The sequence below is a fragment of the Homo sapiens genome, chromosome 4, assembly GCF_000001405.40.
Source record: "Homo sapiens chromosome 4, GRCh38.p14 Primary Assembly".
Taxonomy (NCBI): Eukaryota; Metazoa; Chordata; class Mammalia; order Primates; family Hominidae; genus Homo; species Homo sapiens.
The window spans coordinates 39,453,757-39,479,506 of NC_000004.12; the positions used below are offsets into that span (position 1 = coordinate 39,453,757).

The 25,750-nt window shown below is 40.5% G+C and overlaps 2 protein-coding genes across 8 annotated transcripts, besides 4 other annotated features; one reads left to right on the forward strand and one right to left on the reverse strand.

Annotated features, from left to right (window-relative positions):
* Positions 368 to 5,166, reverse strand: RPL9 (ribosomal protein L9). 2 transcript variants are annotated; one of them, NM_000661.5, is made up of 8 exons: positions 5,135 to 5,166; positions 4,638 to 4,684; positions 4,438 to 4,553; positions 3,830 to 3,925; positions 2,650 to 2,782; positions 1,108 to 1,188; positions 777 to 893; positions 368 to 469 (listed from the first exon to the last, which is right to left on the reverse strand). In NM_000661.5, the coding sequence occupies exons 2-7, from the start codon at positions 4,681 to 4,683 to the stop codon at positions 787 to 789; spliced, it is 579 nt and encodes a 192-aa protein (NP_000652.2). In that variant the 5' UTR covers position 4,684; positions 5,135 to 5,166; the 3' UTR covers positions 368 to 469; positions 777 to 786. The 2 variants fall into 2 exon arrangements, with proteins under 2 accessions (NP_000652.2, NP_001020092.1); NM_001024921.4 differs by having other exon boundaries at positions 4,638 to 4,842.
* Positions 4,167 to 4,917: an enhancer, noted in NCBI's record as "NANOG-H3K27ac-H3K4me1 hESC enhancer chr4:39459543-39460293 (GRCh37/hg19 assembly coordinates)". NCBI's record gives its function as "activates a minimal SCP1, AML or CMV promoter by ChIP-STARR-seq in primed H9 embryonic stem cells {active_cell/tissue: H9 hESC(primed)}" and the evidence as "EXISTENCE:reporter gene assay evidence [ECO:0000049][PMID:30033119]".
* Positions 5,113 to 5,407: an enhancer, noted in NCBI's record as "tiled region #11886; HepG2 Activating DNase unmatched - State 1:Tss, and K562 Activating DNase matched - State 1:Tss". NCBI's record gives its function as "activates a minimal TATA promoter and a strong SV40 promoter by Sharpr-MPRA in HepG2 and K562 cells {active_cell/tissue: HepG2 | K562}" and the evidence as "EXISTENCE:reporter gene assay evidence [ECO:0000049][PMID:27701403]".
* On the forward strand, positions 5,300 to 25,750 carry LIAS (lipoic acid synthetase). 6 transcript variants are annotated; one of them, NM_006859.4, is made up of 11 exons: positions 5,300 to 5,406; positions 7,034 to 7,206; positions 8,440 to 8,533; positions 9,769 to 9,849; positions 11,290 to 11,446; positions 11,529 to 11,586; positions 13,762 to 13,890; positions 16,263 to 16,408; positions 17,480 to 17,550; positions 19,344 to 19,455; positions 23,307 to 25,750. In NM_006859.4, exons 1-11 carry the CDS (start codon positions 5,362 to 5,364, stop codon positions 23,357 to 23,359), a joined length of 1,119 nt encoding a protein of 372 aa, NP_006850.2. In that variant the 5' UTR covers positions 5,300 to 5,361; the 3' UTR covers positions 23,360 to 25,750. The 6 variants fall into 6 exon arrangements, with proteins under 6 accessions (NP_006850.2, NP_919433.1, NP_001265519.1 ...); NM_194451.3 differs by lacking the exon at positions 19,344 to 19,455; NM_001278590.2 differs by lacking the exon at positions 13,762 to 13,890.
* Positions 5,348 to 5,397: a silencer, noted in NCBI's record as "silent region_15368". NCBI's record gives its function as "represses an Ori minimal core promoter by ATAC-STARR-seq in GM12878 lymphoblastoid cells {active_cell/tissue: GM12878}" and the evidence as "EXISTENCE:reporter gene assay evidence [ECO:0000049][PMID:35858748]".
* Positions 5,778 to 5,827: an enhancer, noted in NCBI's record as "active region_21459". NCBI's record gives its function as "activates an Ori minimal core promoter by ATAC-STARR-seq in GM12878 lymphoblastoid cells {active_cell/tissue: GM12878}" and the evidence as "EXISTENCE:reporter gene assay evidence [ECO:0000049][PMID:35858748]".

The window sequence follows — 25,750 nt, forward strand, 5'->3', positions numbered from 1 at the left end:
AACAAGTTCTAGGGTATGGAAGTAAATGGCTGAGGTAAAGGACAAGATTATTGAGACCATGAACCAAACCAACTACACCTTCTAATTCTAACTGATGCTGTATCACTCTGTTCTACTCCTCAGCTGTTTCTCCACCAGTGACTAAGACAACATTTGCCTTACCAAATATTCAAATTCATGCCTCAGCAAATTTAGACACTTTCAGGGTATTCCTAAAGTTCTATATGCAATGATGAATGGCCTCATGTTTGCCTGTCACTGGTACAATATTCCTCTTGCCTAAAATATATCCTTGCTATTCCTTCAAGAACCAGATTAAAGCTCCTTGTTCCACGAGGGAAAAAAACTAGCTAAAAAGGATAACCGGTTTAAGAAGAAGGTCCAAATCAATAGGTCTTTTATTGCATCATTTAAATATCACAAGTAGGTCTTAAGTGTCATCTGGCATCTTCTTTCTGTAGCCAGGTAACTGTAAAAAAAGAAAAAAAATCTGTAAATCCCCATCAATACACTTGCCCAGGAAAGTACTAATCTTTTTTCTGTACTATTCTAAATAATCTAAAACATACCTCAAGACTATGACTTACTGATTCATAGTAAACTATACGTAGTAAAATGCATGCCAATTCCATCTTTTATTCTGTCAAATTTACTGTGTTCCAGAATGCTTAACTCTCCATTTTCTATTACTACAAATTCAGTTTAAGTCTTTTAGTAAATTAAGAGCTTCATTCAACTAGAGCAGTAATAAAACTTAAGACACTGTAAGAACTTACCTCTTAGATCTTATTCATCAGCCTGCTGAACAGTTCCTTTTTCAGAGACATAGATACCATCCAAAAATTTCCTGATATCCTTGTTTTTAACTGTTGTGGCTTGCTGAATCAAAGCCGCTATAGGAGTGAAGATAAAGCAATTAATACATCAGCCTAACCCATCTTAAAAAGAAAGTATTTCATTATGTGCTGTACTTAAAATTTCAGAATGTGACCTTTTTATTTTCACAATTTAAAAAGCTAATCAAATAAAAATTAGCAAAATACTGTATTTTAAACAAGATTTAGACAAAATCTTGTAGGCATAGTTAGACATAGTAAACATACAAACCTGAATTTGAAACAAGCTCAATGTCATTTCCTTCAAGGATTAATTCATCTTTCTGGGCTTGAGATACTGAACAAGCAACACCTAAAAGGGGAGAGGGCATTTGCACAGCATCAAATCTGTGTAAAAAATATTTAAATTGCAGAGGCACTAATTTATTCCATGTAAAACTCCATGCACCAAAAGAACCTTTTCTTAAGATTTTGAGGCCGGGCACAGTGGCTCACGCCTGTAATCTCAGCACTTTGGGAGGCCGAGGCGGGCGGATCATGAGGTCAGGAGATCGAAACCATCCTGGCTAACACTGTGAAACCCATCTCTAGTAAAAATACAAAAAATTAGCTGGGTGTGGTGGTACGTGCCTATACTCCCAGCTACTCAGGAGGCTGAGGCAGGAGAATCGCTTGAAGCCAGGAGGCAGGGGTTTATTTTTAACATAAGGGTTTTCATTAAATGTTGCTGACCATAGCTAGTATCAGAGTATTTCTGGACAGCCATTATTTTGATACTAAGAATCTCCCTTCTTCCCACCCCTCCCCACCCCAATGGAATCAAAATGCATCAAGAGGCCGAGCCAGGTATGTTTTAAGAGGCCAAGGGGGAAGAACTGCTTGAGCCTGCAAGTTCAAGACCAGCCTGGACAACATAGCAAGACCCTGCCTCTACAAAAAACTTAAAAATTAGCTGGGGCCAGGCACCATAGCATTCCTTGAAATCAGCCTGGGCAACGTGGCGAAACAGTCTCTACAAAAAATCAAAAATCAGCTGGATGTGGTGGCAGGCACCTGCAGTGCCAGCTAGTGGGGAGGCTGAGGTGGGAGAAACACCTGAGCACGAAGGTGGAGGATGCAATGAGCTGAGATCACGCCACCGTACTCCAGCCTGGGCAACAGAGCAAGACCCTGCCTCAAATAAAAAGCACTAAGCTTTAAATTTTTTTTAAAGCTACTGTGTTTACTATGTATTACGCATGCATTGTTGTTTTTCAACTTTAACTCATTTAATCAAAGATGTTTGCAATTTTAAGCTGCAGAGAGATGACATGCCCAAGGTGGACAGTGAGAGCTGAAATTTACGCTAGGCTATTAACCACTACTCATGTAGTTTTCTCTTTAGATTTTAAAGGTTCTTACCACGAAGAAATAAATGGAGTGATGGATGTGTTAATTAGCCTGATTTAGTCATTCCACAGAATATGCATGTGTTGAAACATCACATTGTGCTCCATAAATACACACCATTATATACACCTTTTGTAAATTTAAAGTCTTTTTAAAAGATTTCATTTGCCAAGTTAAATACAACCACCACTGCAAGCTACTCCAATGTATCAACTTTCTGAAATTGTAATCGACATAATGATATAAACCCTTAAGTAGCACCAACAGTTTAAGTGTAATCAAGAGATAATTCTAAAACAAATCTGGTTTTACTCAGCACAAACACAAAACAACAGCCAACTAAAGTATGGAAGTTGGGAGTGGAAAAGGAGGAAAAAAATATGAAGGAAAAATTTCTTAATTCTGTCTGAGGGTATGCACATACCTGGTCTCATCCGAACCCTGCGGATATATTTTTCACCCAAGAAATTTCGGATTTCAACAAGAGACCCATTCTCCTGGATAACAACGTTGATGGGGAAGTGAGCATACACAGACCTCATCTTGTAACGGAAGCCCTATGTTAAATAAATAAGCAAGCTATTAGCAATGCTGAGGAATATTTTTAATAGTTTTAAAATTTTCTAAGATGCTTATACTTATTTTAAAACGTAACACTCACTGCCAAGATTTTCTAATAACTGTCACCTGAACCAAGCCTTATAAACATTGTTCTGTCTATTCAGTGGACTGTAAAGCTCCTTGCGGAGGCTTTATTTCACTAGCTCTTATGCCCTCAATGAACAATGCTGCCTTCTTTTAATGAGAACCCCAAAGCCCTGATCTTAGACATTAGACTAACATTTACTGAGTTACTAAGGTACAGCACATGGCAGGAATTGAGACCACCAAGCCAAAGGCAGGCCCCCTGCCTTCAAGGAACTTAAGGCTAAGAGCAAGGGTAGATGGGGGAATCTTAACAGATTTATAATAGATGTACAGGGTGCCATTATCAGGTGCATTCTAGAAGGTATAATGCAAAGAAAACCATTTCAGCATGAACTTTTTATCTTGAGGGGAGAGACGGTGGGTTGGAAAGAATAATGACATACATTATGGCAGCAGACAGAAAACTCAGAAACTACATCTTTTTCTATCCCAACAAGGGGTCCTGATGGTGAGATGTGACTACCAACTAGTACTGCAACTGTAGATTTCCTATCTTAAAGAATTCGGAAGGTATGAAAATTCATCATTAGCCTACTTTTTAAAAGTTGTACCCATCTAGCCATGCATGGTGGCTCATGCCTGCAATCCCAGTACTATGGGAGGCCAAGGTGGGAGGATCACTTGAGCTCAGCCTGGACAAAATAGCGAGACCCCAGCCTTGATTAAAAAAAAAAAAAACCCAACAACAGAAAAAAACAAACATGTTGTACCCATCTGGTCTTTGCTCTCAGCTCTATCGCTTAAAGACCCACAGATGCCTATTTTTGCCAAGTTCTTGCGTATTACACCAAATAAAATACATGACCCATTCTCTGAAAGAGACACTTACGCTGTATAAAGCACAGGTTTGAGAAACCTCCCTTTCCAAAACAAGGAAGTCTGATACATCTGCTTACCAGTGTAACACCCTTGATCATGTTCTGTACATGACTACAAATAGTCCGAACGGTAGCCAGTTCCTTTCTGTTACCCCACCATTTGTCAACCCGGAGCTGTAACAGAACAAAAAATGTATTCTTTCCAGAAATATGCAGGCTTAAAAGACAACAGACCACTTACCGAATTACTTTAAGATTCTAGAATTAACCCTTATCAAAGCACATGGTTTTCAACTGGAAAAATCCAACCACCTATAAAACCTCCCAACAGTTAAGCTTTGTAGAAGTTGCAACAAACTTCCCTTCTGGAAAATTAAATCATCAGGTTTAAATGACCTACTGCCGGTTCCTGTGATTTTTACAAAGCAATCACTAGGAAAATAAACCAAACTTCTAACACCATTAAGACGTGTCACTGATGACCACTATTACATTTGAGCTTTATATAATTGGCTGTGTTCAGAATCTGGTTTTTCAATTTCACTGAACAGGCTGGTATTCTGGACAGCAACATTTAAAGCTGAAGCACTGAACCTTAATTCGAAAATTGTTAAAGCAACCAAATGTGATGCTGTTATAAACCACCTTCCAACGAGCAACTGAATTATCAGAAGAAAAACCCTCACCCTCTTTTTTTTCTTTCCAAGAAGGCTGAGTTCTACATTGATGTGATTGAAGTCCCTCCGCAGGGTTCCTCTGGGGCCCTTCACGATAACTGTGCGTCCCTTCAGAGTAATGTCGACTAGAAGAGAGAACACACTCGTCAGGCCACACAACGCTTGGAACGTGCAGTAAAGATGTAAGTAAAAGACATCAAGTCTCATACCATTTTCTGGAATGTCGACAGTCTGATTGCTGAGAATAGTCTTCATTCTGAAACACAAACACTGGGGGTGAGGCCGACGCAAGGCCCGTTTTTCCACCAAACTACGCCGCACAGAGCTCCACTCCTACTGGAGACTGCCAGGCGGAAGTTCCAGACAAGATGTCGGAGGACGGGAGACCGACAGCGGGCCCCAGTGTGTCCCAGCCTGGAAGGAGCAGCCCCAAAGCGAGAATTACGAGGCCCAGCAGTCGAACTCCCACTCAGCCCAACCCTGGAAGTCCTATGCGGGCGGTGCCATCCCGGCAAGACTGAGGGGCGGGAATAGGCCAAAAAGCCCACAACAGGATTCGCATCTGGCGCCGCCAGGCTCATATGGCGCTTGCCGAGCTGGGGGACAAACAGGACAAGGTTCCGAGAGTGGGAGCCGCGCCGCAGCCTTTCCCAGAGCAGATGGTTTCAGATTCCCAGTACCCCCACGAGCACAGAAACATCCTTACCTCGCAGTAGACGCAGCAAAGAAAGAACGTCTGTCGTCATTACGTACTTGTATCGCGTAAGGGGCCTGCGTATTGCGTCATGAGTGCGCGACGCACGTAAGGCTAAAGCAGCCAATCGTGGAGCAGCTTGGCTGCTTGTCATAAATGGAGCGACGTAATTTCGACCTGTCCTTTCCCGGGAGTTAGCGATCCCTCAACCCCTGCACTGCGCTAGTCCTAAAGAGGAAATGTCTCTACGCTGCGGGGATGCAGCCCGCACCCTGGGGCCCCGGGTGAGCGGCGGGGCGAACGGGTTTGGGCGTGGGGTGGGGGGATCCTATCCCTTCAGAGCGCCCATGCCCAATAATAAAGGCCAGTGCATTTACTGAACATTTACTACTAGCCAACGGCAGTTTTAAACGTTTTTCGTGTAATCTCATGTAATTATCCCGCCAGCCCCATGATATAGAGTCTCTGGCATCAGTTTGTTTGCAAGTCTCTCTGGGCCAGCACCGAGGACTTATTTTCTGCTTAGAGTGGTTTGTACCCTATATTTATGGAGCACTGCAGTGAGCACCCCACATAGCTATTCTGTCTTGGACTCTTACTGTGTGTGAGACACCACTCTAGCCGCAGAGAACACAAACCTGTCCGCTAGGCTTCAGCGGCAGACATTGAGAAGTGCAGTAGCAATCGTGCAACACCCTAACAGGCACTCTTTGAGTTGTCGAAGGTTCTTTTGAGATACATGTGCAGACTCGTGGATTTTGTAGTGTTTTGGCTATCTCATACACGTTTGTGTTCAGATGTAAAAGCCGAATACCATGATTTCTTATGTTCTTGACTGCCACGTTCAAACACAGAAACAATGTAACCTAGAAAGTAAAAACGTTCATCCTGGCCAACATGGTGAAACCCCGCCTCTATTAAAAATACAAAAATTAGCTGAGCGTGGTGGCGTGCGCCTGTAGTCCCAGCTACTCGCCAGGCTGAGGCAGGAGAATCGCTTGAACCCGCGAGGCGGAGGTTGCAGTGAGCCGAGATCGCGCAACTGCACTCCAACCTGGGCGACAGAGCGAGACTCCATCTCAAAAAAAAAAAAAGAAAAAGAAAGTAAAAACGTTAGGCTTGGTTTTAACCTTCCAGTTGTCTGAAACTAATTGGGCATTATTAACCTACGTTTCAACAATTATTCAAAGCTCGAGAGATTTATTGCACACTTCACTTTAAACGCCCCTGATTCAAGTCAGGACCAGAACAGTTTTAAACTGTGGCACCTTCTTCAGTTATTGCAGTTCAATCTTGTTGAAAGACAAACATCTAGTTCCTGGTAGGTGGAGTACATGAAAGTGTGATATATGTTAGTTCCAGAGATTTTCGGGCCGGGTGCGGTGGCTTACGCCTGTAATCCCAGCACTTTGGGAGGCCGAGGCAGGTGGATCACCTGAGGTCAGGAGATCGAGACCATCCTGGCTAACATGGTGAAACCCTGTCTCTACTAAAAATACAAAAAAATTAGCCGGGCGTGGTGGCGGGCGCCTGTAGTCCCAGCTACTCAGGAGGCTGAGGCAGGAGAATGGCGTGAACCCGGGAGGCGGAGCTTGCGGTGAGCCAAGATTGCGCCACTGCACTCCAGCCTGGGCAACAGAGCAAGACTCCGTCTCAAAAAAAAAAAAAAAAAAACAGATTTCCAAATCTATTCTAAACTCAGTAGTAAACAGTCAACTCTTACTCTCTTTTAGGTTTGGTTCCTTCAGTCATCTTTTATATTCTAATGCCCTAGAATACTAGAGCTCCTAGTTTGACATAATTTCTGAATCACTTTTTTGGCTTTACCCTTCCGTTTAGGTGTTATGATGGGTTAAAACTAAATTATTACGGACTCCACTAAATAAACGTCATAATTAACTCTTTCTTTAGGTATTTGGGAGATATTTTTGCAGCCCAGTCAGACCGTTAAGCTCCTTGCCAGATAAAAAAAAGGAACTCCTACAGAATGGACCAGACCTTCAAGATTTTGTATCTGGTGATCTTGCAGACAGGAGCACCTGGGATGAATATAAAGGAAACCTAAAACGCCAGAAAGGAGAAAGGTAATTGAAAATTTGAGATAATTTTAACGTCCCGTTCCTTTATTGTGCATTATTTTCAGATATAACCAAGCCCTAGAATCTGTTTTTAATATCAGACTTGTTAAATTTAGCTAAAAATCATTAGAAAGATGTGATAACAGAACTAGATAGAACAAGTAAGCAGATGAAATTTTTGGAATCTTTCTCTTTTCTCTTGCCCTTACTATGTTACACTGCCATCTCCCCATTTTCTACCCAGCATCCAACTTCTTCAGAGTAAAGATTACTGCTTTGCTACTAGTCTGTTAGATCTGGGTTAGTAGCTGTTGATGATCTAACTTGTGCTTCTCCTAGTCAATTTACATGTGACCTATGGATACCTTGCCTTAATTTAAAAGAATGATGGAATTTTATGTAGAAGGTAGATTGAGTTGAAAGATAACTTAATCCTGCTCCTTCTATATCACAAGTGGATGGAAGTCATGGAGAACCAAGGATACACAGTCTCCAGTCCAAATTTTAGATCTTTTTTCCATTGAGTAACCACTATAAAATCTAGAATGTAGAGCAGACAGTGCACAGTTGTGATCTTTCCTCAGTCTAAACAAGTAGAGTACTTTTTGGCAGTATCATTCATGAGGGATGAGATATTTGAAAACTTGCTCATTCTCTTATTAGAATAGTGTAACTCTGCCTTTGCAAAAAAGGTAGACGTGAGTATAGCGCCCTGTTACACTCCATTATTGGTGTTTTCTTTTTGTTTGTTTGTTCTTGAGACAGTCTTGCTCTGTCACCCAGGTTGGAGTGCAGTGGCACAATCTTGGCTCACTGCAAGCTCCGCCTCCTGGGTTCAAGGGATTCTTCTGCCTAAGCCTCCCAAGTAGCTGGGACTACAGGCGCCTGCCACCACGCCCGGCTAATTTTTGTATTTTTAGTAGAGACAGGGCTTCACCATATTGGCCAAACTAGTCTCGAACTCCTGACCTTGTGATCCGCCCACCTCGGCCTCCCAAAGTGCTGGGATTACAGGCATGAGCCACCACATCCGGCCATTATTGGTGTTTTCTAAAGTGGTTTGAGCAAGGCTAAATTTGATTCTGTGTTCTTACTCCTATGACAGAAATTATAAGAGTTATTCTAAGGTTATAGAAAAAATTATTAACTAGGAATTGTAATAGAAGAAATTAACTTCAAAGCTGTGTAATTATTTGGCAGCATATTTGTTAATAGATAGTTATGTTTGGCTTTCCTTAGGTTAAGACTACCTCCATGGCTAAAGACAGAGATTCCCATGGGGAAAAATTACAATAAACTGAAAAATACTTTGCGGAATTTAAATCTCCATACAGTAAGTTGTCAAAGTGTAAACTATCCCTCTTCACCAAAAGCCATGTTTCTACGTTTATATAACTTAAAAATTATTAATAAATATATAAATAATAGCAAAGAAAGTAAATATGTTAAGTGATACATTACTACCAGGAATGGAAATATATTTAGAATCATTTTTCCGGCAAACAAAGAGATTTTTTGCCCTACGAGTTTGGAAACAAGGCTTTGTTTGTTTTATATTGCAAATTAGATATATGATTTGTTGGAAAGAATATAAAATTAAATATGAAGGTATGTCACATACGCAATGCCATATATAAACCATACTCCTTTACCTTTAACTCTTCAGTATATAATCTTTCAGACTTTTTTATTTGCACATATGAAGTATATACATTCGTAAAGTTTTTAATTTAAAAATTGGATTTTGGCCAGGTGCGGTGGCTCACACCTATAATTCCAGTACTTCGGAAGGCCGAGGTGGGAGGATCACCTGAGGTCAGGAGTTCAAGACCAGCCTGGCCAACATGGTGAAACCCCGTCTCTAATAAAATACAAAAAAAATTAGCTGGGCGTGGTGGCGTGAGCCTGTAGTCCCAGCTACTTGGAAGTCTGAGGCTGGAGAATCACTTGAGCTTGGGAGGTGGAGATTGCAGTGAGCTGAGATGGCACCACTGCACTCCAGCCTGGACGACAGTGAGACTCCATCTTAAAAAATAAAAATTCAAGTCTGTCCATTCTTACATAATTATGTAAGGGAGTACACCTCTATAGGACATGCTCACTACACTCTAATCTTAATATAGAGTTGGGCAGTTTAACAGCCTTTTTTTTTTTTTTTTGAAGACAGGGCATTGCTCTGTTGTCTATGCTGGAGTGCTGTGGTACAATTGCCTTGACCTCCCAGGCTCAAGTGATCCTCTCTCCTCAGCCTTCTGAGTAGCTGGGAGTATAGGTGCACATTACCACGCCTGACTAACTTTGATTTTTTGTAGAGGCAGGATTTCACTATGTTGCCCAGACTGGTTCCAGACTCCTGGGCTCAAGCAATCCTCCTGCCTCAGCTTCCCAAAGTGCTGGAATTACAGGCATGAGCCAGCGCACTTGGTCTTAACAGCATTTTTGAATAGTGAATGTCTTCAAAAATATGTTGTAAACAATGAGAAGTTTAAAATGTCTAATCACAGTCACCAACTGTTTAGTTGGTGGATATTGTCAACCTAATGGTGTTCCATTTCCTTTTGCATACAGGTATGTGAGGAAGCTCGATGTCCCAATATTGGAGAGTGTTGGGGAGGTGGAGAATATGCCACCGCCACAGCCACGATCATGGTAGGGCCAGCCTCAACCTCTATGGCTTTAGTCTAGAAACTGAAAGGGACTATTTTGTGTCTTCCTCCTAAAAATGTGCATTATGAATCTCTGGTCAGATTTTTCATTACATTTGCATTTATGAAAAATATTAAGAAAAAACCTGATGGAATAATCCAACCTGTTGTAATCTCACCCTTCTCTGAATAAATCTATTATTGGTTCTTTCATTTATGTGATAGTTAATCACGTGCTGCCTTGAGATACCTCTCCTATCAATGTTTGGAAACATTATTCATGATTGCTTAGCTTTTTATGTGTTTTCTGTTTAACATATTCAACAAGAAGGAGCTGTGCTTTCTGTTTTTACATCCATAGAGACCTGTACATTGATCTGTCATATATTTTATGTCTTTTAAAATCATCTTTTTTTATTATTGAATAGATATAAAAGTATCTTCATAGGCCGGGTGCAGTGGCTCATGCCTGTAAGCTCAGCATTTTGGGAGGCCAAGGCAGGCAGATCATTTGAACCCAGGAGTTCAAGACCAGCTGGGCAACATGGTAAAACCTTGTCCATACAAAAAAAAAGTTTTTAAAAATTAGCTGGGCATGGTGGCACTTGCCTGTATACCCAACTTCTGAGGAGGCTGAGGTGGGAGGATCACTTGAGCCCAACAGGTTGAGGCTGCAGTAAGACATGATCATGCCACTGCGTCCCAGCCTAGACTACAGAGCAAGACCCTGTTTCAAAAAAAAAAAAAAAAAGTATCTTATAAACTGTGTAAGTTATAAAGAATAACACAACAGACACCCTCATACCTCCAGTTTGAGATTAAAACGTTAGCATTATCTTTGAATACCCCTCTGTACCCCCTAAACTGTATATTAGAATCCCATTTTTCAGTTGTGTTTCTATTTTGTTTTAAGAAATGGGGGTCTCACTCTGTCACCCAGGCTGGAGTGCAGTGGCACAGTCATAGCTCACTGCAGCCTCGAACTCCTAGGCTCAAGTAATCCTCCTATCTCAGCCTCCCTAAATACCTGAGGCTACAGGTACATGCCACTACACTAGCTAATTTTTAGAGACAGGGTCTCACCGTGTTGCCCATGCTGGTCTCAGACTCTTAACAATCCTCTCACCTCAGCTTCCAGAGTAGCTGGGATTACAGGAGCAAGCCACTGCACCCTGCTTTGTTTTTAAATTTAAATTTTGCGTCCTTTCCTGATCCCATCCCCTTTCCCCTGAACACTATTCTTATTGCTGAGTTTATTATTTCCCTTTTTAGTTTTATCACATATATTTATGTTCCTTGACTATCATTTAGTTTTGAATGTTTCAAATTTCTTATAAACAGAACCAAACTGTATGCATTCTTTGCAACTTGCTTTATTCTCTCAACATTATGTCCTTAAGGGTCATCTGTCTATTTCATTTAAATTGTAACATTTCTATTCTAGTTGATGGGTGACACATGTACAAGAGGTTGCAGATTTTGTTCTGTTAAGACTGCAAGAAATCCTCCTCCACTGGATGCCAGTGAGCCCTACAATACTGCAAAGGCAATTGCAGAATGGGGTCTGGATTATGTTGTCCTGACATCTGTGGATCGAGATGGTTAGTGTGTCATCATGGCCTCTACCAGAAACTGGCTCTAAATGATGACATCATCCTGAGCAGTGGATTCTTTTGTTTCTAGATATGCCTGATGGGGGAGCTGAACACATTGCAAAGACCGTATCATATTTAAAGGAAAGGTACTTATTTTTGCATTTGTGTAATTTAAGGACCTTTTTGGACCCATATGAGTTAAGTTTAAGTTCATTACCTTGAAACAGGGATTATTCACTTTTTGAGGAGTTTCATAGTTTTCTGATAATTCACTGGAAATTATGTACACATTTCTTTGGAAAAAGCATATTTGTATGTACAGATACATATTTGCAGAGAATTTTAGGGGCTCAGTGACATGAACTTACCCATAGACCTTTAGCCCATAGAATCCCTCCCTCATATTAGAGCATTAGTCTAAACTTTGAATAATTTTCTTTAAAAAGTATAAACCTGGTCTTCTTAGTAATGATTTTTTTTTTTTTTTGAGATGGAGTCTCGCTCTTTTGCCCAGGCTAGAGTGCATGGCACCATCTCACTGCAACCTCTGCCTCCCAGTTCAAGCATTTATCCTGCCTCAGCCTCCCGAGTAGCTGGGATTAGAGGCCCACGCCACCAAGCTCAGCTAATTTTTGTACTTTTAGTAGAGATAGGGTTTGACCATGTTGGCCAGGATGGTCTCAAACTCCTGACCTCAATTGATCCACCCACCTGAGCCTACCAAAGTGCGGGATTACAGGCCTGAGCCATCACGCCCGGCCTGTTTTTTTGGGTTTGTTTTGTTTTTTCTTTTAAGAGACAGTCTTGCTTTGTCATCTAGGCTGGAGTGCAGCGGCCTGATGATCATAGCTCACTGCAGCCTCAAACTTCTGGGCTCAAGCAATCCTTCTGCCTCAGCCTCCCAAGTAGCTGGGACTACAGGTACACTACCACGCTTGGCTAATGTTTTTACATTTTTTTTTAGAGACGGAATCTTGCTATGTTCCCCAGGCTGGTCTCAAACTCCTGACCTCAACCAATACTCCTGCCTCGCCCTCCCAAAGTGCTGAGATTATTCTAATTTTCTACAGCTCAGTACTAGTTTGGCACCTAAGCGCACTTAGTAAATTTTTTAAATGATTCCCTAGTATTTTCTATTTTCTATTTACTATAGTTCATTTTTGAAAAATCTGTTTGCAATCCACTAGGTTTATTTTACAAGCTTCAGTGGGTCTCAGCTTTCAGTTTAAAAAAGCAATAGAACCAAGCACAGTGGTTCACGCCTGTAGTTCTAGCACTTTGGGAGGCCAAAGCAGGAAGATTGCTTGAGGACAGGCGTTCAAGACCAGCCTGGGCAACATAGGGAGATGCTGTCTCTACAAAAAATAAATTAAAAAAAAAAAATAGCTGGATGTGGTAGCATGTGCCCATAGTCCTACCTGCTTGGGAGGCTGAGGCAGAAGGATTGCGTGAGCCCAGGAGTTTAAAGTTACAGTGAGCTATGATGCACTGGGCAACAGAGCAAGACCCTGTTTTTATTTAAAAAAAAAAAATTATAGGATATGTTCTTTGAATATCTCTTATATTCATGATAAGGGTGTACATGTGGTCTTTTCTACATCTGTTCTTTCAGGGAACAACTCCAGACACTTTGCCAGTGGGTTTGTGAAAAAATGTGTCAGCTGTTTCAGTCGTTTTTGCTGGTGTCAAAGGGAACAGCTCTGTGACCCAGTTCACATTATAATACTTGGATGAATAGATATAGCCACAATATAAATAGGAAGATTAATGTTTAGCTCGTACTTCGTTTAACAAAGCTCATGACTCAGCAACCCAGAAAATAGTTTTTAAAACCCGTAGCACTTGTGAAATATTTGCCTAGAGGAAGGGAGGAGAGCATGATTTGATGACTTTTTAAAGAAATCAAAATTAAAGCAATCAAATAATACTCACATTTATATAAGAAATACTTCAATTTACTTTCCAATGAGTAAAGTTTTATATTTAATGTTTTAATATTTCATATTTTAGTTTCTTGCAATTATTTACTTTTTCTAAAACCTACTTAAATTAGGTTTAAAAGTCTACTATATATAATTTGAAATTTTATTCAGTTTGCCTACAGGTGTGTTTTAACCACTGTGTACATAGTATTTAACGGTCTGCTTTTTTTTTTTTAATAATGGTTCATGTATGAACATCTGTATGTTCATACTTTTCTTGACAAAGTTCTAAAGGTTACTGTGTTGAAGCATACTGAACGATTACTGATAATTTCTATTTTGAGGAACAGGTATGTCAGTTCTTTCTCTCTGTTTGATAATTCTCTCTTTTCCCCTTAGGAATCCAAAAATCCTTGTGGAGTGTCTTACTCCTGATTTTCGAGGTGATCTCAAAGCAATAGAAAAAGTTGCTCTGTCAGGATTAGATGTGTATGCACATAATGTAGAAACAGTCCCGGAATTACAGAGGTGAATACGTGTACAAAGTAATGTTGGGAAGTTAGGCGGGTCAAAATATGCCATATATTCTTGCCTTTTCCAGGGCTGAACTTTGCCATTGACTTTTACAAAGTAAACTCTATTCTTTTTTGTTTTTTAGGCAAACTCAATCTATGTCTCTTACATAAAAATCAGAAAATATCACCAACAAAATCAGCATAAATATCACCCATAATAGTATTTCCACCCAGCAATATCAGTTACTAACACCTTAGTGTTTATATTATAAACACTATATTTATACTACATATTTGTATTTTTATATTTATAATATACTTAATTTTTATATTACAAACATTAAGATGTTAGTAACTCATATTACTAAGTTACTGTGTGTGTTTTAATACCCACAAATAATTAACATCTTTTTTCTTTTGTTTTAAAATAATATCATACTGCAAATTTCAATAAGTTGTTTGTTTCCCCCTCCCCACAAATAAAGTTTTCAAAGGAGGGAAAAAATTACACTAGAGCAATTGCTTTGGTTGTAATTCTAAAGAAAAGACTTCAAAAATATATTTGGCTGGATGCTGTGGCTCACGCCTGTAATCTCAGCACTTTGGGAGGCAGAGGCAGGCAGATTACCTGAGGTTGGGAGTTCGAGACCAGCCTGACCAACATGGAGAAACCCCGTCTCTACTAAAAATACAAGATAGCCAGGCGTGGTGGCACATGCCTGTAATCCCAGCTACTCGGTAGGCTGAAGCAGGAGAAGAATCACTTGAACTCGGGAGGCGGAGGTTGCAGTGAGGTGAGATTGCGCCATTGCACTCCAGCTTGGGCAAAAAGAGCGAAACTCCATCTAGAAAGAGAAAGGAAAAAAAAAATATATATATATATATATATTTTTTTATATTATATATATTCATATATATTTATATATATATATTCAGCACTAATATGTGTAATAAATGATGCAGAAGAAAAACTCGTGGCTCACGCCTATAATCCTAGCACTTTGGGAGGCCGAGGCGGGCGGATTACCTGAGGTTGGGAGTTCAAGACCAGTCTGGCCAACATGATGAAACCCCATCTCTACTAAATATACAAAAAATTTTAGCTAGGTGCAGACCTGTAATTCCAGCTACTCTGGAGGCTGAGGCAGGAGAATTGCTTGAACCCGGGAGGCGAAGGTTGCGGTGAGCCGAGATAGTGCCATGGTACTCCATCCTGGGCGACAGCAAAACTTTGTCTCAAAAAAAAAAAAAAAGAAAAAAACTCATATCATTCAGATGTACTTTTTAAAAAAAGTAGACACTATGCTTTCTTATTCCTAATAATTTCAGTAATTAAGACTAATCATTGGCAAGTAACACTGATGTAAGAAAAAAAGTAAGGATTGTTATCCACATCCATTCAAATTTTAGAAAAATGAACATTTTAAGCTTCGGGCAAGAGTAATATCATTTTTTTCTTTAATTTTAGCATTTAGCAGTGATTTTATTAGCTTCTACATATGATCTGTGTCATAGAGCCTGAAAGAAGTTACAGTAAACAATAACCACCATTTTCACTAAATCATAAACAGTAGAGACCATAACTTAATTTCAGTGGAGAAATTCTGTTAAAAAGTGATTTCTATAATGTCAGTTTCAGTTACTTTTAAGTTCATAAATTTGTTTCTTCTCTTTCCTGTTAACTAGTCTCCAATGAAAAACAATTACAGAAAATAAAGCTGCATTAGAATTGAAATGAAATCCAGTTTAACATCAGAAGCTTTCTGGCCTTTTGGCTTAAAGGATAAGTCATTTAAGCCATGGTGGTTTGGCCATTGTTGAAGTCTAGGACACAGCCTGTTCCAACCTCATCATGATACCACCACCAGTGGGTGCCAGTTTCCCTGGTTTCACTTAAAAACATGATCCTTTCCAGTGAAAATTCCAGAATCATGCATTTCTTTACCTAATATGTGGCAGTGTTGTATACTTACCAGCAGAGGGCAGCTTAGTCTTCAGAAAAGAAATGAACTTGAAAGTTTCAACCCTCTGACATGTGGGTTCAGCTTATTTTTTTCTTTGTTCAGTATGGAGACTCTCTTACTTCTGCTTTTTTTCCTTTCTCTTCTAATTTTTCGCTTCAGAATTCTGGTTTCTCAATGCATAAACTGAAGTAATTTCTTCCATTCTACTTTTCTCTGCCCCAGGCTTGAGATAGAACTAGGGAGCCCAGTGAGGCCTTTTCTTTCCTAAATTAACAGGCATCTGTGCATAAATGCTACCTTTGAACTATGTGATTTAAGATAATGTGCAGAATGTACTTCTCTGGTCTTTCAGGTTGCTTGCATAACTATGTACTTGGTTGAACTTGTAATTCTTGCTGACAACAGTCCTGCTGTTTTCCAGTAAGGTTCGTGATCCTCGGGCCAATTTTGATCAGTCCCTACGTGTACTGAAACATGCCAAGAAGGTTCAGCCTGATGTTATTTCTAAAACATCTATAATGTTGGGTTTAGGCGAGAATGATGAGCAAGTATATGCAACAATGAAAGGTAAAGAAATTGAAAAATGAAAAATCTTTCCCATGTAATTTGAGTAATAGCAGGAACCCACTCACTTTGAAGGCCCTTCTAAGAACAAAGAAAAGTATATGGTTATAGATGGCAGCATGAAAAGGAAACCAACTTGCACATGCACCCTCAAATCTAAAATACAAGTTAAAAAAAAAAAAGCAAAGGAAATAAATTTTCTTGGAATTTCATGGAGTGATATGCATGACGCTCAGGATACAAAATTTATATCCCATTTTATTCCCCATCCTTTGCATCCACTGAAAGCATGATTTCATCCACTTTTCTCATTCTATCATTGGACACTTTTGGAGAGCCAGCCTGGTACCAGGCACTGACAGTTCATAGATCAATGAGACTAATCCAGGCCTCTGAGAAAGAGCTTACTTGTAGCATTGTCACATAACATGGTGTGCTTTGGACTTTGCTGAACTTTAGTCCCGTAAGTCCATTTGCTTTGTGATTCTTGGACTTTTTAAACTTTGGAATTTCAAAGTTTTAATTTTAGCTGAGGACCCTTGGACTACTTGTAGTTATTTAGTGGTTCAAAGAGTAATAAGTTCATATAATAATCAAGACCTGCTGTTTACCACATTGCACACAGTTTATTAGAAAGATTCTGATATGTCATAGTTTAAATCACAGCCCCCATAGCATATCTTGTGCATTGAGTAAAAGCCTAATGCAACATATTTGCTCTATAATATAGGTGCATTGAGGTTTTTGCATATACCATTTCCCATACCTTTTCTACCAGACTCCTACTCTAAAATACCCTCCACTACTATTTTAGCATTGATTCCATAGTATTAGAAGTATTTATCCTTGTATGTATCAGCCCTACATGACTGTCTTAATTATTATTGTTTTCAGTCCTTACCACAGTCCCTGGCACATAATACTTTTGAATGAATAGATGTTGTCTTATTCCCCAACATGAAGATTATGGACTGTCATAAAGTTCACACCGTTTTTAAATATTCCTTAGGAAAATTATGCTTAGATCTACAATTAAAGTATTTGCTAATGTAATTTGTGCTTTTCTTCCTACAGCACTTCGTGAGGCAGATGTAGACTGCTTGACTTTAGGACAATATATGCAGCCAACAAGGCGTCACCTTAAGGTACATGTATCTTGATTTGCTTTTTTTTTTTTTTTTTATTTTTAAAGATGGAGTTTTGCTCTTGTCGCCTGAGCTGGAGTGTAGTGGCACAATCTCGGCTCACTGTAATCTCTGCTTCCTGGGTTCAGGTGATTCTCCTGCCTCACCCTCCTGAGCAGCTGGGACTACAGGCGGGTGCCACTACATCCGGCTAAAATATACATATATATAATTTTTTTTTTTTTTTTTTTTTTTTTTTGAGACGGAGTCTCGCTCTGTCGCCCAGGCTGGAGTGCAGTGGGGCAATCTCGGCTCACTGCAACCTCCACCTCCCAGGTTCAAATGATTTTCATGCTTCAGCCTCCTGAGTAGCTGGGATTACAGGCACACACTACCACACCCGACTAATTTTTTTGTAGTTTTAGAGACAAGATTTTGCCATGTTGCCCAGGCTGGTCTCGAACTCCTGAGAGCTCAGGCAATCCACCCGCTTCGGCCTCCCAAAGCGCTAGGATTACAGGCGTGAGCCACCGCACCCAGCCAATTTTTTATATTTTTAATAGAGATGGGGTTTCATCATTTTGGCCAGGCTAGTCTTGAACTCCTGACCTTAGGTGATCCACCCGCCTCAGCCTTCCAAAGTGCTGGGATTACAGGTGTGAGCCACTGCGCCCAGCCCATGTATAGCTTTTGACTCCCAAAAAAACATAACTACTAATAGCCTTCTGTTGACCGGAAGCCATACCAATAACAGTCAATTAACACACATTTTGTATGTTACATGTACTTATATATATACGTATGTGTGTGTGTATATCTGTATATACACACACACATATACACACACACACACACACACACATATATACACATCTTATTCTTATGATAAAGTCAGCTAGAGAAAAAATTTTTTGAAGAAAATCATAAGGAAAAGAAAATATATTTACTAGTCATTAAGTGGAAGTGGACCATCATAAAGGTCTTCATCCTCATCATCTTCATGTAGATGAGGACAAGGGAGAAGAGGAGGAGTTAGTCATGCTGTCTCAGGGGTGGCAGAAATGGAAGAAAATCCTTGTATAAGTGGGCCTGTGCAGTTACCATGTTGTTCAAGGCTCAGCTGTATTCTTATAAGTCCCAGTTTTCATTTTATTATCTACATAAATCAGCTACGTTTGCACATATTTGCTGCCTCCCCCATTCTCTTCACAAATTTCACAACTCAAGTGAACCTAGAGAAAAAGAATTTAAAAGTTGGGAAATGGCACTCATTTACACTTGGTTATTGTGTAACTTGTTTTTGTTATGTTAGAGCCAGAGGCGAAGAAAGAATGGGAAACCATTCTTTCTATTTCTATCATGGACATTTATCCATTCATTCAAGAAGCTTGTGTTGAGCAGTGACCATGTGCCAGTCACAGTGCTAAGCAGAAGATACAAGTTGAGTAAGACAGTCTTGTCCTCAAGAATCAGATAAGCATGAGTAATTCTTGAATTTAGCTGTTAACGAAGGAAAAATATAGATAAATAATATCTGTAGATAATCTCTTCTTTCTCTGTCCTTTGGAATAGCCATTGTAGCACAAAATTGATATGCTTCCCTGTCTCTGTAATTCCCTGTATTTACATCCCAATAGAGTGGCCAAAAAGTAACCAGTAAACACGTAGTCAGGGAGGAGGGAGAGGACAAAAGCCTGGGGGTGGGGGCAAGATAAATTACGCAGTGAAGAGCATTCTGCATACATAGGTATAGACTTTCTGCAGAATCAAAGTGGAATTCTAAAATCTGATCAGAAGTAATTATTTAAATCTAGGTTGAAGAATATATTACTCCTGAAAAATTCAAATACTGGGAAAAAGTAGGAAATGAACTTGGATTTCATTATACTGCAAGTGGCCCTTTGGTGCGTTCTTCATATAAAGCAGGTAAGTTAGATTGTGGGGCATGGTTTCATTTAGGCCGTTAACTTTCCACATTAAGTTCTACCACCAGTCACTAAAACTCTTGACAAATTCTAATACCTTTGGTGGTCTTGGTAGAGGGCGTAGTTTTTCTTCTGGAACATCCTTAGGAGCTTTGCTCCATGGGGATCATATTAAGAAAAGTTTCTCTTAATCTTTTGTTTCTTAAACAAATTCAGCCCCCTGCTTTGTAACTCAGCTACTATAGTAAAAGCAGAAACAATTAGTTTATTAATTTTTTCTATGTGTAGATTTCAGTAGTAGGTTATTCAGAAATGACAGAGCATGTCAAGCATCTAATAGGGTTTTCTGAGAAATACATATTTATTTGGAAATGATGCCAGCTGCATCTCCAGACTCAGTTTCAATCAGTTTAAGCACTGAAAAGTATCTTATTTGATAGCATTGCTTGCATCATTAAATTTCTTTGTATTTTTCCCCCAGAGGCAACAGAAAAATATCCATAAGATTATTTTTCTCCGTAGGAACGTTTAGTTGTTTTACTAGCTACAATGCAAATTTTTTTTACTTTTGGAATTTCAGCTCTTATTTTAATCAATAGCTTGAATTGATTTATGAAAAGAAAATCATTTTCCAAGGGATAAAAAGTCATGTGATAATGATTGTCGGAGGATCCAAAAGAACATATCTGAAGACCGAATTTAATCTAGAAAGTGTTTATGATGTCCCTGTCAGTTGGACTTAACAATTATAATGATTAAGAATAAATTGGCTGGCCAGGTGGGGTGGCTCACACCTGTAATCCCAGCACTTTGGGAGGCTGAGGCGGGCAAATCACGAGGTCAGGAGATCGAGACCATCCTGGCTAACACGGTGAAACCCTCTCCACTAAAAATACAAAAAAATTAGCCGGGCATGGTGGCGGGCACCTGCAGTCCCAGCTACTCGGGAGGCTGAGGCAGCAGAATGGCATGAACCCAGGAGGCCGAGCTTGCAGTGAGCCGAGATTGTGCCACTGCACTCCAGCCTGGGCAACAGAGCAAGACTCTGTCTCAAAAAAAAAAAAAAAAAAAGAATAAATAGGCCAGGCAAGGTGGCTCATGCCTGTAATCCCAGCACTTTGGAAGGCAGTTGGATTACTTGAGCCTAGGAGTTCAAGGATGCAGTGAGCTATGATCGTGTCACTACAGCTCCAGCCTGGGTGACAGAGCAAGACACTGTGTCTCAAAAATAAAATAAAAAAAAGAAACAGCTAGGCCAGGTGTGGTGGTGTGTGCCTATAGTCCCAACTTCTTGGGAGACCGAGGCAGGAGGATCGCATGGGCCCAGGAGTTCAAATACAGCCTGAGCAACATTGTGAGATCTCATCTCTTTATTTTTTATTTTATTATTATTATTTTTTTTTTAGATGCAGTCTCTCTCCATCGCCCAGGCTGGAGTGCAGTGGCACAATCTTGACTCACTGCAACCTCTGCCTCTCAGGTTCACGGCATTCTCCTGCCTCAGCCTCCTGAGTAGCTGGGACTACAGGTGCCCGCCACCACGCCTGGCTAATTTTTTGTATTTTTAGTAGAGACGGGGTTTCACCGTGTTAGCCAGGATGACCTCGATCTCCTGACCTTGTGATCCGCCCACCTGGGCCTCCCAAAGTGCTGGGATTACAGGTGTGAGCCACCGCACCCGGCTGACCTTGTCTCTTTAAAAATAAACTAGGTATTGGCCAGGCGTGGTGGCTAATGCCTGAAATCCCAACACTTTGGGAGGCCGAGGTGGGCAGATCACAAGGTCAAGAGATTGAGATCATCCTGGCCAACATGGTGAAACCCCATCTCTACTAAAAATACAAAAATTAGCTGGGCATGGTGCTGCGCACCTGTAGTCCCAGCTACTCGGGAGGCTGAGGCAAGAGAATAGCTTGAACCTGGGAGGCAGAGGTTGCAGTGAGCCAAGATCCTGCCACTCCACTCCAGCCTGGCGAAAGAGCAACACTCTGTCTCCAAAAGAAAAAATATATATACAAAAATTAGCCGGGCATGGTGGTGTGTGCCTGTAGTCCCAGCTACTTGGGAGGCTGAGGCAGGAAAATTGCTTGAACCCGAGAGACAGAGGTTGTGGTGAGCCAAGATCATGCCACTGCACTCCAGTCTGGGCAACAGAGCAAGACTCTGTCTCAAAAATAAATAAATAAGTAAATAAATAAATAAACTAGGTATTTTTTTTTTTTATCTAAAGTGGTGATGTTTTAAATGATTGCTTTATATATTGGGGTCTAAATCTTAAATATGTTTAAATTAGACAAATTCTATTTGAAAAAATTAATGCTCCAGTATTAGTAATATTCTGTATGTTCCTAGTTCCTATAAAGACATTTAAGGCCGGGTGCAGTGGCTCACGCCTGTACTCCTAGCACTTTGGGAGGCCGAGGCGGGTGGATCACTTGAGCCCAGGAGTTCAAGACCAGCCTGGGCAACATGGCAAAACCCCATCTCTACAAAAATACAAAAATTAGCTGGGTGGCTGAGTTGCTGGGTGGTGGTGGGCACCTCTAGTTCTAGCTACCCAGGAGGTTGAGGTGGGAGGATCACCTGAGCCCAGGAGGTTGAGGCTGCAGTGAGCTGTGATCGTGCCACTGCACTCCAGCCTGGGTGACAGAATGAGACCCCGTCTCAAAAATAAATAAATAAAAATAGTAATTTAAAACATTTTAATGAACTAGTAGCTCATCATAGTTTGAAAACCCAAGAATTTGATTCAGCACTGAGTGACAGAATGTGGGGACTTTGAAAACCAGTAATTGTAAGTGATTTAGTCTTCAAGCAGCACTGCTGGCAAGCTAAAAATACATGTGAAGGATAGAACCACTATCAGCTTCTAGAATGGTTAGAGTAATGTCCTTTGAAAGGAGTTTTTCTTTTGCTAAAGAAAAATTTCTAACATAAAAGGAAGTAAATTATGAACTTTCTGATGCTTTCTAAATTACCAGGAAAAGATCAGATTCTGGTATATGATGAGCATTAGACTAAAATGATGGATTAGGGTCTGATAAAGTTGGTGCTACTCCCACGACATTTGGAGGAGGTATGGAGCAGCATGGATTACTTGGCTGGGTTATGAGCCTTGGGATTTGCAGAGATTATATGTAGATAGACTCATCACAGTTCTACTCATATGTAAGATGACAAAGAGAAGTTAATCAGACTCCTCATAAAATCAGGCCTCTAGTGCTGCACTCTACCAATAAGCATTGAGTCATGCTGTAAGAGCAATAGACTAAATGGAACACTAATGGCCTAAAAAGAGAATGTGCCCTCTAAGCTGCTAACTTATTGCGTAGGCACAACTCAGGCGGTGGGGAGAAAGCCCATTACAAATGAAGAGCTCTTGCTTCCCTAGAGGGGAATAAGCTAAAGAGATTCCATCAGATGCGTCTGCTCAGCTGCAACGAGATCTGTTTTATAAACATCAGATCCAGCCTAATAATGTAGCAAAATTGCTCTTGGAAATGAATTTTGCCAAGAGCAATACTTTGACAGTGATGAGGGATAGATAGTGCACATAAAGTAGAATTAATGTGCAGACCCATATATACAGTAGGGTCACCCTTTGTAATATTGGCTTACTAGAAAGAATAATAGTAGGAGACTCTAGTCATTATTGCTGGGGAGAAAGGCCAAAGATAATAGGGGATATTTAGGTTAGAAAAATATTGCCATTGAGGTTTGAGAAGAGAGAAGTGCCAATAAATACAAAAGTCTTCTTTAAAGGGGGAACACCAAAAATATAATTCTGAAATAGTTGTCTCACTGTTATTTACTTTAAATTGATATTAATGTGTTTTCCTTTTTCCTAAATAGGTGAATTTTTCCTGAAAAATCTAGTGGCTAAAAGAAAAACAAAAGACCTCTAAAACTTCAACAAGACCTTCAAGATCACAGAAATTTTTAAAATTTGATTCCAGTTAATAACAGAGGTGGTGCCAGAATGCCTGGACTGCAGTGGATGTGCCCCACCTCTTTGCTTAAAAAAAAAAATGTCAATAGCCAGGCATAGTGGCTCACGCCTGTAATCCCAGCACTTTAGGAGGCCAAGGCGGGTGGATCACCTGAGGTCAGGAGTTCGAGACCAGCCTGGCCAACATGGTGAAATCCTGTCTCCACTAAAAACACAAAAATTAGTCAGGCGTGGTAGTGGGTGCCTGTAATCCCAGCTACTCGGGAGGCTAAGGCAGGAGAATCACTTGAACCTGGGAGGGGGAGGTTGCAGTGAGCCAAGATCGCTCCATTGCCCTCCAGCCTGGGTGACAAGAGCAAAACTCCATCTCAAATAAATAAAAAGGAAAAAAAAGTCAATAAACTGTACAAATTTAATTACAGTAATTCATTTGGCTTTTAGTGTATCTTCTTTGTCCCAATTAAACAGTTGCTTGCTGTGATGTAATCTTAAAATATCTTTGTAAGAATTTTCTTTTAACATAATTTTAAAATGCATTAAAAACATGGCATGGTGGCTCACACCTATAATCCCAACATTTTGGGAGGCCAGGGCGGGTGGATCACTTGAACCCAGGAGTTCGAGACCAGCCTGGGCAACATGATGAGACCTTATCTCTACAAAAAATTAGCCAGACGTGGTGGCACGCACCCGTAGTCCCAGCTACTCAGGCTGAGGTGAGAGGATCACTTGAACCTGGAAAGCAGAGGTTGCAATGAGCTGAGGTGGTGCCACTGCTCTCCAGCCTGGGCGCTACAACTGCTCTCCAGACTCTGTCTTGAAAAAAAAACCCAAAAACTTCCAGAAGATTTTCCAATCCACTGTTAACATCATTACATTTCATTTATGAAAAATAAAAACTTCATTTATGTTACTGTGATGAAACAGTCAACATAGATTGAAACTCATCAGTTTAGCATTTCATTCAACTTTAGCATTCATTCAACGTAGATTGAAACTCATCAGATTAGCATTTGTCCTTGTAATATTGGAATAATTTAGAAAGGCTTAAGAGTGAATGTTGGCCAGATGTGGTGGCTCATGCCTGTAATTCCAGCACTCTGAGAGGCCGAGGTGGGCAGATCACCTGAGGTCGGGAGTTTGAGAACAGCCTGGCCAACCTGGTGAAACTCCATTGCTACTAAAAATAAAAAAATTAGCTAGGTGTGTTGGCAGGTGCCTGTAATCCCAGCTACTTGGGAGGCTGAGGCACGAGAATTACTTGAGCCTGTGAAGCAGAGATTGCAGTGAGGCGATATCGTGCCACTGCACTCCAGCCCGGGCAACAGAGTGAGACTGTCTCAAAAAAAAAGTAAATGTTGATTTTTTACATTGGTGTGACTACTTCAGAACCTGCAAAATAGTTTTATGCTGATTACATTTAGTCCCTCTGAAAACACCAAGGCCATAATGCTGCCTAAGACATGGAAATAGAACCTAGAAATATTAACCCTTATTTGTATAGTAGCTTGCTAAATCCACATGCCCTATTCCTTTCATTTCTCACATTGGTTGTATTATATGATGGTAAAGGCCTGAGAAAGGAATTTCCTTCCAAAATACTAATAACTCAGATTCATCTTTTGACTGAATCCTGCCTTTCTACTTTTTCTGCATATCTAAAAGGACACTTTTAGGTGGCCATGTTGTAAAATATGTAAAGTGGATAGCCAATTCTGTTTTGAATTCTTATAACGAGCCAGTATTATAAAAGTAATGCACATCCTTGCCAGGTGTGGTGGCTCACGCCTGTAATCCCACCACCTTGGGAGGCTGAGGCGGGTGAATCAGTTGAGCTCAGGAGTTTGAGACTAGCCTGGGCAACACAGTCAGACCCCCATCTCTACCAAAAATACAAAAAATTAGCTGGGTGTGGTGGCACATGCTTGTAATCTCAGCTATTTGGGAGGCTGAGGCAGGAGAATCACTTGAACCTGACAGGCAGAGGTTGCAGTGAGCTGAGATCACATCACTGTACTCCAGCCTGGGTGACAGAGACCGTGTCTCAAAAAAAATTTTTTTAAGTAATGCATGGGCCGGGCATGGTGGCTTAATGCCTGTAATTCCAACGTTTTGGGAGGCCGAGGCAGGTGGATCACCTGAGGTCAGGAGTTTGAGACCAGCCTGAACAACATGGTGAAACACTGTCTCTACTAAAAATTAAAAAATTAGCCAAGTGTGGTGGCGCATGTCTGTAATCCCAGCTACTCAGGAGGCTGAGACAGGAGAATCCTTGAACCTGGGAGGCAGAGGTTGCAGTGAGCTGAGATCACACCATTGCACTCCAGCCTGGACAACGAGTGAAACT